This window comes from Homo sapiens, chromosome 5 (genome assembly GCF_000001405.40).
Source record: "Homo sapiens chromosome 5, GRCh38.p14 Primary Assembly".
NCBI classification, from domain to species: Eukaryota; Metazoa; Chordata; class Mammalia; order Primates; family Hominidae; genus Homo; species Homo sapiens.
The window spans coordinates 2,360,819-2,372,511 of NC_000005.10; positions in this window are offsets into that span (position 1 = coordinate 2,360,819).

Here is an 11,693-nt window from a genome sequence, read left to right on the forward strand (position 1 = left end):
AACTTTGGTAGCCACCATTCTACTCTCTACTTACATAAGTCTGACTTTTATAGAGTTATACATTTTTTTTTCCACATTGAGTGAGCCCGTGCAGCATGTATCCTTTTGTGCGAGTGTTTTGGCACTTTTTTTCATAAAACTGTTGGCTGTATATATTCTTGTGAGAAATGTCTAATCTTTTATTTTTTGATCAGGTTATTTATTTTCCTGCTTTTGAGTGGTTTGAGTTCTTTGTATAGTTTGGATAGTAAACCCTTATCATATGTATGGTTTGAAAATATTTTCTCCCAGTCCATGGGTTGTTTCTTCACTCTACTGATTCTTTCCTAGGCTGTGGAGAAGCTGTTGAATTTGGTGCAATCTTGTTTGTCTGTTTTTGCTTTTGTTAACTGCACTTTTGGAATTGTATCCAAAAAATAATTGCCAGTTCAGTGTCTTGAAGCTTTTCGCCTATGTTTTTTTTCTAGTAGTCTTATAGTTTTAGATCTTATGTGTAAATTTCTAATCCACTTTGAGTTGATTTTTATATATAGCGTGATACATGGATCCAATATTACTCTTCTACATGTAGATATCCAGTTTTCCCAGCACCATTTATTGAAGAGGCTGTTTCCATTGTGTGTTCTTGGTAACTTTATTGAAAATAAATTGATTCAAAATTTGTGGATTTGTTTCTGGCTTCTCTATTCTGTTTCATTGGTTGCTATGGTTTTATGCCAATACCATGCTATTTTGATTACTAAATCCTTGTGATATTTTTTGATGTCAATTTCTGTGAAAAATGTAATTGGATTTTGAATTTTGATAAGAATTTCATTAAATCTATAGATGTCTTTGAGTAACATGGACATTTTAACAATATTAATCCTTCTAATTCATGAACTCAGAACAGCTTTCCATTTTTTTGTGTTTTCTTCTATTTCTTTCATCAATGTTTTATACTTTTATGTATACAGATCTTTCATTTCCTTGGTTAAATTTATTCCTAAGTATTTTTTAATGCTGTTGTAAATTGGATTGTTTCTTAATTTGCTTTTTGGGTAGTTTGCTGTTAGTGTACAGACATGCTACTGATTTTTTGTATGTAATTTTGTATCCTGCAACTTTACTGAATTTGTTTATCAGTTCCAACAACTTTTTTGGTGGATTCTTTAAGGTTTTCCATATATAAGATCATGTCATCAGCAAACAGACAATTTCACTTCTTCCTTTTATATTTGGATGCCTTTTATTTCTTTTTCTTGCCTAGTTGCTCCAGCTAGCACTTCCAGCACTAAGTTTAAAAGAAGTGGGAGAGTGGGCATTCTTGTTTGGTTCCTGACCTTGGAAGAAAAGCTTTCAACTTTTCACCATTGAATATGATGTTAGCTGAGGTCTTGCCATATATGGGCCTTACTGTGATGAGGTACATTTCTTCTATTCCCAATTTGTTGAGAGTTTTTAATCATACAAAATGTTGAATTTTGTCAAATGCTTTTTCTGCATCTATTGAAATAATCATATGGTTTTGTCCTTCATCATGTTAATATGGTGTATCACATTTATTGATTTGCATATGTTGAAACTTCCTTGTATCCCAGGAGTGAATCATGTTTGATTGTGATAAATTATCTTTTTAATGTGCTGTTGAATTCAGTTTGCTAGTATTTTATTGAGGATTTTTGTATCTACATTAATTGGGGGCATTGGTCTGTAATTTTCTTTTCTTGTAATGTCCTTTTTTGGCTTTGGTATCAGGGTAGTATGGGCCTTCTAAAATGAGTTTAGAAGTATTTTCTCCACTTCAATGTTTTGGAAGTGTTTGAGAAGGACCGATATTCGTTCTTCTTCATGTGGTTGGTAAAATTCACCAGTGAAGCACTAGGTTCTGAGAATTTCTTTGATGAGAGACTTTTTATTACTGATCCAATCTCCTTAATCATTATTGGTCTACTCATATTGTTTCTTTCTTCATGATTTAGTCATCATAGTTTGTAGGTTTTAGGAATATATCTGTTTCTTCTAGATCAACCATTTTTTTGGCATATAATTCTTTATAGTGGTTTCTTATGACCCTTTGTATTTCTGTAGCATCAGTTGCAATGTTTCCCTTTCATTTCTGGTTATATTTATTTGAGTCTCCCCTCTTTTTTTTCTTAGTTTGTCTAGCTAAGGGTTTGTCAATTTTGTTTATCTTCTCAAGAAATCAACTTTTAGTTTTCTTGATTTTCTATTCTCTTTTTCATTTGTTTCTGCTCTGATCTTTATTATTTCTTTCCTTCTATTAAATTTGGGCTTTGCTTTCCTTTTTCTACTTCCTTAAAGTCTAATGCTAAGTTATTTATTTAATATCTTTCTCTTTTTTGATATAGATGCTTACTGCTATAAACCCTCCCCTTAGAACTATATTTCTGCATTCCATAAGTTTTAGTATGTTGTGTTTTTATTCAAGACATTTTTATTTTTCTTGATTTCTTCTTTGACCCATTGGTTGTTCAGAAACATGTCATTTAACTTTCAAACATTTGTGAATTTTCCAAGATTCTTCCTGTTATTGATGTTTAGTTACATATTATTGTGGTCAGAAAAGAAACTCGATAGGATTTCCATCTTCTTAAATTTGTTAATGATTTTGTGACTTAAGTATGATCTGTCAGGGAGAACGTTTCATGTGCACGCTTCTCCTTCTGGAATGCCTGTTATATGAACATTGGTTCTCTTGATGATGTCCCATAGTTCCCATAGGCTTTCTTCATCCTTTTTTGTTTTTCTGTTTTTCCTCCTCTGACTGGATAATTTAAAAGTCTTGTCTTTGGGCTCACTGATTCTTCTGCTTGATTATGTACAAAAATTTACTGAATTTTTCTGTTCAATCATTTATGCTTCATCTCTAGGATTTCTATTTGTTCCCTTTTTGGGTGGTTATTTACATTTCTTTGTCAAACTTTTCATTTTGTTCTTTTATTAATTTTCAAATTTTACTTAGTTTTCTATCTGTATTTTCTTGTAGGTCACTTAACTTCTTTAAGAGGTGTATTTTGAATTTTTTGTCAGTCAGTTCATAGATCTCCATTTATTTAGTGTTTGTTATTGCATCCTTATTAGTTTCCTTTGGTGGTGTCAAAAACTCCCTGATTCTTCCTAATCGTTGTGTACTTGCATTGGTGTCTGTGGATTTGAGGAAGAAGCCATCTCTTCTGGCATTTATAGTTGTTTTGTGGTAGAAGTAGACCTTTACTCTTAGTCTAGACTGTGGTTCTGGATGGGCCAGCTGGTACCAACAATGGGCAGTAAGAGCTTGCCATCAGACTCTGTCGCTGGACTGCCTGCACTCTTAGGTCATGTGGGGTTGCTGACTGGGCTCTGCTGTCCTGTGAGACCACTGACTGGGTCTGCTATCAGGTAGAGCTCCTGGCTGAGTGCCACTACTGCTCTAAGTGGGCAGGGTCAAAGGCTGTATTCCTTGGCCAGGTGGCACCACTCTTTGAATTCTGCCGTTTGGCAGGACTAAATACTAAGCTCTGAGATTGGTTGGGGTCACTATTTGGCTACTCAGGATCGGGTGTCAGAGATTATGTTCTGCAGAAGGCCATGGTTTCAGCTAGCCTTCCTGCCAGGTCAGAGGTTGGGGTGGGCTCTGAGGCTGAGCAGGGTGGCTGGCTGGGAATTCAAGCCAGGTGGAACCTTCAGCTATGCTTCTGGAAGCAACTAGCTTAGCCTTGTGTGTGGGTTGTGCTGTCGGCTGGCATCTGTGGTCGGGTGCTACGTCTGGGAGGAACACAGAGCTACTGTGAAGGTGCATGCCCTTGTTTCTGTGCACCCACCTTCCACATTGTTTCTAGCCAGCCCTCAGTGGTCTAGTCCTGCAGGTAACTTCAGTGTTCCCTGTGAGGTGAGACAGAAGTAGGCCTCCTGGGAAGAATCCCAGAAAGCTGGGGAAGCTGAGCACCCACCTGGGACTCTCTTTTACCCTTTCTAGAAACCACAGGCCCAGGGGAATCCTCTCCATTGGGCAGGGGGTGGGGTGCTGCTGTCAAACTGAAACTGTTCCTCCTGCTCCTCTAATGCTGCTTTTCACAGCTCTGTGGTCAAAGAGGATATGGCAACTTCACTCTTGAGTTTTGGGATTGTTCACAAAAATCTGATGTGTGTTCTTATCTGTGGATAGTCATTAGTTAGACTTTTTGCGAGGGGGACTGAGACTGAGGACCTCCTATTCTGCCATCTTTATGTCACTCCTTAGTTAATTTCAATGATGAGAACTTTCATTTTTACTTTAAAACATATGAATGGTTTTTAATTTATTCTCTATGTCTTAAAATACATTTTATTAAAAGCAATTCTTCTTGATATTTTTCTTAAGCAAATTATTGTTTTAGTTACTTTAGAAGGATAAAATGCATATATGACTGGCACTCTGCAATATAACTTACACAAAAATGTAGGAAATACAAAGTTAAATGCAAGAGAAGTGTATTAAGAAAATACTTAAGCAAGAATACTATAATCAATGTAAGAGCTCTCACAAAGTAGTATGCCATCAACAGAGAAGATAATAAACATCACTTCCTAGATCATTTCAGCTTACAAAGCAAAGAAAGGATGTGTGATGGATTTTGATACCCAGATCAATGTTCCTTTGCAAAGAACAAAGAGTCATGGCAAGTGAGAAGAGTCGTGTGTTTTCCTTTTTGTTGTTGTTGTTTTCTGTTTGTGTCATTGTTGTTATTTAGTCAGCTACATGCTGTATTTCTTGCTGTAGGGATTCACTTCTGTCTGTAGAGCTAGGACACTCCACTTGCCAATTCTTGGTCCTCACATTCAGTTCATCTTCATGTGGAGAGTAAGCTGCCTGGGCCGGGGTTTCTTCCACAGCTGGAGGGCCTCTGTACAACTTTCATCTTTAAACAAATGCTCATTCCAGGGCACAAATCCTGGGTGCAGTAAAGTTCCCAAAGCTGTGGACACAGGCAAGAGAACAAATCCTAGACGAGGAGAAACTTTATTGACTATTGGGTATTTTTCTCCTTATTCTCTAAGCCCTTTAAAGATTGCAGCAAAAAAATATTCTGGCAATTAAACCAAATGCATATAAACAGTAGACAGATTTAATGCACACTCTGCATCTATAGAATTTGGGAACAGAGTGGCTAAAATGTGTTTGCTCCAGTTCACCTTGGATTTTAATGATGGTCACTGGACAATCAAGAGAACTGGATTCTCTGGTAGCTTCCTGATGTACACGATATGGAGAAAAACACAAAAGCACATCAGAGAATTCTGCTGTGGCCGTGGTTCTAAACTCTGGGTTCCATTAGGAACTCCGAAAATTACCAATGCAGGGCTACACTCCAAACAGATGAAATTGGAATTCTTCAGTGAAGACTACCGTGGGCAGTTTTAGAGGCTTTCTAGCTGTGCTCCTGGGCAGCAAGGGTTAAGGAACAGGTTTAATATTCATAGTCAAATGACTCGAGTCAAATTCACATGGTTTCAGTTTCACAACCCTGACTCTTAACACCCCACCTTGTGTCCCTAGTTATGCATGACTATAAAACATATATAGAAGTAGTTTAAAAGCCAAAGTACTTCAAGTTGAAACTTTTCCATTTAAAATAAAAGTAGCAATCATAGAATAGAGATAAATTGTACATTTAATGTGGTGATATTTAATCAGCCTCCTGTATACATTTGTGGCTAGAGAAACCAACATAATGATGGTTTATTTCATGCTTTGATTGAGGTTACTTTTTACAGATAAAGACATTAGAAAACTGCTTTTATGAAAAAAATTGTCTAAGTATCTAGAATGCTTCAAATACAGTATAAATAAAATGCAGTAGTTGCCTATCAAACTTTTAATATCAAATAATAGGTTTTGAGTCACTGAAAATTATGATTTTATTTATACATATTCACAACAAAACAGCAATTTTTAACTGTGAGATAAGCAATATTTTTCCCAAGATCAGGATATCAGTATATATCTAGCACCACCCAATGATTAAATAAAGAACACTCAACAGTGTTAACAATAGCTGATTTTTTTTGCTGGTTCTGGGTCAGACAGAACAAAGACATTGCATGTTTCAGTGGGTCGAATCCTCCTGTCAGCTCTGTGCAATAGGCAGTGATCCCGACCCCTCCCACAAGGCTGGGGGAGCAGAGGCAGCTTCAGGGTCTGTTCTGGAAATGTTTGTGGCTCACAACACAGTCTGGCATCACCTGGACTCGATACACAGTCCGACAGCATCAGCATCGCCTGGGAGCTTGTTAGACGTGAGGATCTCAGACTTCACCCCAGTCCCACATCCTGAATCAGAATTCGAATTTTAACAAGCCTCCAAGGTCATCTGTCTACATGGAATGGTGTCCTTGCACGTGTTTGCTCCAAACAATGTCTTGCACGTGTTTGCTCCAAACAATGTCAGGGAGTAGTTTCAATTTTATTGAAATAACTAAATACACAAAACGCTTTTGTAATAATGCTTCCTTGCATTTGGTTGGTGCTCCAGGATTCAAGCAATACTTTTGAGTGTATCATTTCCTGTCATTATTTTCACGTAGTTCAGAGACATTTGAGAAAATTGCCGCTGATTCTTGTGCTTTAATAAGTAGCAAATAGAAAAGTACAACGCACACTTTTGACTATGTTGCAGAATCCAGTCATAGCAGCAGATGCTCTCTGTGAACTATCTTTGCTCCAAAAATGTGTGAAAACAGGCCTGGTGCGGTGGCTCATGCCTGTAATCCCAGAACTTTGGGAGGCTGAGGCAGGCGGATCAGCTGAGGTCAGGAGTTCTATACCAGCCTGGCCAACATCGTAAAACCCCGTCTCTACTAAATATACAAAAATTAGCTGGGCATGGTGGCAGGTGCCTGTAATCCCAGCTACTCAGGGGGCTGAGGCAGGAGAATCGCTTGACCCCGGGAGGCAGAAGTTGCAGTGAGCTGAGATGGTGCCATCGCACTCCAGCCTGGGGACCAAGAGCGAGACTGCTTCTCAAAAACAAACAAACAAACAAACAAACAACAACAAAAAAACCCGACTTAAGCTGGAGGTAAGTGCCGCAAGATTAGAAGTCTGTTAGACTGTGTGTTGGATAGTCATGATGCTGTCCGTCAGAGTGAGAATGCTTTTCAGATTTCAGTCCTCGCTGCTGGGGTCAGTCAAGCATGCACATTTTCAACGAAGCCTCTGGATGTGTCAATATTGAAAGAGAGCTGTATTCTTTTTGACTGGCTAACTGTTCAGGAATATTCCATAATTTAGCATTTATTACCTATCAAAACCCTTAATCTTTGCTCATTTTCCCTATGAACATTGGATGCCGAGCTAGTCTCCAGCTAGACATTTCTAGATAAGCTCTCTGTTTCCAATTGTTTTCCTCCTAATCCACGCACCCACTACAATTCAACCATGCAGTTCTCTAATGATTTTTCTAGGGTAAGCCATTACCTTGTAAATGTAGACCTTCACCTTCTGTGCAATTTGCTGACCCCCAATGGGTAATTGTGGTTCTCAATTACTTCTGCTGCTTGGACAACATCACCTGGTGCTTAGAAGATACTTTGTTCTGCGTTTCCGCTCCCTCTATCCAGGCCTCCCGTTATGCTCAGTTGTCTCCTTCGTAGGTCTGAGGCCCCTCTGTGCTGCACTGCGGCCTCCGAGTGGCTCGCACAACTGCGCCTGGCACCCCTCCAGCCAGCAGGGAGACTCTGAACTCTGCAGGCTCCACAGAAACTGTCAGAAAGTCCCCCTGAGGAACAAGGTGGGCGGAAACCTCCTTCCCTCAGCATGCGCTAAAGGGGCTGGTCCAGAGAAGCAGGTAAAGAATGTCGGGTACCATTTCTAGTCTTGGACTCTACCAACACTGGCTCCTGAGAGATAGAAAGCAGCAGGTTTCTAACATCTCACACATCCGTCAAGTGGAAACGACTGCTGCAGCCTCTGCTGTCTTCTCTGATGACTTGAGGAACCAGGAGTCTCGGCTCATTTCTGCCCCTGCTTGTGATCTCCTGGTTGCTGCTCCCACCAGTGCGGGTTGTAAGAGAGGGCTGGGGCCATTGGAATAACGTGGTGGCCTCCTGTTTACACACACATGTGTACATGCACAGAACACACATGCACATACATGCATGGGTATGCATGCACAGAACACACACACTTATGCATAGGTGTGCACGCACAAAACACAGAAACATGAATAGTCATGCATGCACACAAACACACACATGCTGGACATGCATGCATAGAACACACACATGAATAGGCGTGCATGCACAGAACGCACACACATGCATAGGTGTGCATGCAAAGAACACACATGCATATACATCCATGGGTGTGCATGCACAGAATACACAAACATGAATAGGCATACATGTACACACACAAGCATGCACATGCTGGAGATGCATGCACGGAACACACACATGAATAGGTGTGCATGCACAGAACACATACACACATGTATGGGTGTGCATGCACAGAACACACAAACATGAATAGGCATGCACACACGAGCACGCACATGCTGGACATGCATGCACACACATGCATGGGCGTGCATGCACAGAACACACATGCAAACACATGCATGGGTGTGCATGCACAGAACACACATGCAAACACATGCACGGGTAGGCATGCACAGAACACACATGCAAACACATGCACAGGCATGCATGCACAGAACACACATGCAAACACATGCACGGGCACGCATGCACACACAGACACAGGGCATTCCTCCCGCCTCAGGCACCCTGGCCAATGACAGCATCAGTTGTCGATTCGCGTGGATCCCTCCACTAGCGACCATTCTCACAACCTTCACATTTAACTTTGAATTTCTTCCCCATGAACGGGGCTGCCAGATGCCAGGTTGATAATGAGCTGTGAGCTCAGAGTGGCATCAGGGACCCAAAGGACCATGGCTTGGGGCGCTCAGGTGCCCAGAACAGACCGCCTCCCCCATGCCAGGCAAGGGCTGTGCCACATGGAGTTTCTTTCACCGATTTCCCCCCAAAGTGGTATTAAAAGTAGACGCTTAATGATAATGAATTGAATTGTTCCTATCTAAAGTGGACTGACTGGCAGAATGCTGGCAACAGAGAGATCCCTGACGCTGGCTAAGAAAACAAAAGTAATTGGATTACACAAAGAAAATAAGATAAACATTCATTAAAATTACAGTAACAGGCTGTGATTAATGAGCAGTGGAGGAGCACGCAGTACGCAGCCCGGCCCTCGAGGTCTTCCTGCCAGGTGTGCCAACCGGGACTCCTCTTCCAGAGGAGTTTCCATGGGCTTATCAGATCAAGGGGAAGGCACTTGCCTTTCCTAAAGATTCTTTCTCCCAACTTTTCATTTTCATTATCAAAGAGTTCAAAAATGGTTAACAGCAGAAAGGACCTTCCCGATGGAAAATGTGTCTTTTACAATGATCATTACTCAGATTCTGTGTTTCTGGTACCGTTTAAAGGATGGCTGGCCATTTTTCCAGGCAGTCAGATTCGGTGCCTCAGCCTGTCTTCACTCAGTCGTCCTGCGTGTTCCCAGGAAGGACTTGATCTTTATTACAACGTCCACAAGCCAAGAGCACCCACCGTCTATTTCAGTGACGCATGGGAAAGGTCCCTGAATGGGGGAGTGAGAGCTGGTGGGTCCTGAGCATGCCCACCCTGTGAGGACCTCACTGGTTTAATCCCCCTGTGCCCACCCTTCTTCAAACTCACTGTTAAAACAAGCAGCACTTGGATGTCCTCTGACACGGCTGCCAGGAGGCACTGCGAGAGCATCTCCATAAACACCACGAGTCCAGCTCCATTTTATTCAGGCCCCACAGATGCTGCAACCTCAAACCAGGAGTCCTTGAAGAGCCAGCTGGGGAAAACCCCCAGAGTGTCATAACTGGGTCCTGTCATGGAGGATGGTGCCCAGGGCTCCAGGAATCAGGACAAAGGCCATCATCACAGAGATGCAAATGCAACAACCTTGGCATCAGAGAAGCCGGCACCAGACATGGCCCCGTCTGACCGCAGGCCTTGCGGGAGGAATGGTGAATGCTGGCGTCTTGGCGAAGGCTGTGATGGTTGTGTGTGGGAGGACAAGGCTCTTGGAGGCCTCCTCCTAGTGCCACTCGGTGCCTGGTGCCCTCAGGCCCACCTCCACCCTGCGCGTGGTCCACACACATCGGACAAAGGACAAAGCAGTGAGCCCGGGGGCATGGACAGATCCTCGCTGACCCTCCCTGGAGCCACACCACATGGAGCAAGGCAGCGAACAGCTCCGGTGTTAGCACCCTCCGTTTTCTTGCCTGTGTAATGGTCATAATAACAAGGCCCTCCTGGAGTCATCAGGTGGGTAAATGAAGTGATGCAAGTAAGGAGTTCGTCAGAATGTCCCCCCTCCCCACTCCCCTTGAAGGTGGAATCCCTTTCCCCGGCTGATATGTAAACACATGGTGCAGACACCAGCAGCTGCACAGGACATGGACCTGCCTCTGCTGCACCTGGCGCGAGGCTCATGGCTGCGCTTGGAAGCTCCGGGACTGCGCTGAGCCATGGTGACCTGCTATGCCAGGTTCCTTTTCTGCACAGCGTCGCTCCCTCTGCTTGGCTTGGTCGCCACCAGTTTACTCCTCCTGGAGGTGACTGGGCGAGAGGGTCTCACTGGACTCTGGAGCCACATGCCGAACACCGGCTTCTTTCCCCGCAGGGAGGCCGAGTTTCCTGTTCCTCGAACTCTAAATCTCCTCTCCACCGCGAGCTTGGATGTGCAGTTGAGTTTCCCACTTTCACCTCGGCAGAGACCACCTGTGCACACGCGGCCTTCTAGCCAACCCTTCCCCAGCAAGCGTGACCTCCAACCTTCCCCAGGCCCCGCCTATCCCTCCCCATCAGTGATGGTGCGTTTGGCTGTTAGCTAGGAGCCCGATTACGTAATTTACCATCCAGGTCGGACGTTGGGAGTGTGAACAGGTGCTGTGCATGCCGCTGGGACACAGGTAGATGCCAGCGCTGCCGGGGAACAGGAGCGCGAGGCCACCCCCACACTGAGCTGTTTCGTGAGCTTGTCAGCCTTCACTCTCGTCCACTTGGATGGCCTTAGACGCAGTTCCAACCACACCTCCCTCCCTCCTTCACCCTGGAGTTTGAGCTTCTGAGGCCCAGGCCTTGGGAACGTCCTCTCTGAGCTGCTTCTGGAGCTCATGTCCTTCAGTTGCCCTCCTGGGAATTCTTCACTCTCCTCCCTGACCCTATCGGATCTGCAAATCGTGTCTGCCGCTGACCCCTTCACTTTCCTCCCTGACCCTATCGGATCTGCAAATCGTGTCTGCCGCTGACCCCTGCCTGCGGCCACTCCACGGACCATGCAGCAACTTCTCACGCACTCCCTTCTCCAGGCTTCCCTCTGGGGTTTCCTCCATGGCTGCAGGGACGTCATTGTGAGACCTGTGCCACTTTCCCTACTGAGAATCCTTGTTTCTAATTTACATGCCTGTCGTCCTGGGGAATTAAGTTCTTCAATATCCCTGTGGAGTCCCACAAGCTGGACCCTGGGTCACACCTTGAGAGGCGTGCTCACTGTCTTTCGGCCTCATACTCCAGGCATCACAGCAGAGCCACACGTGTCTTCTGCACACCACACTGTCTCACACCCCACAGCTCCCTACCTTCCATCTGTATCAGAGCCTTATTACATTACA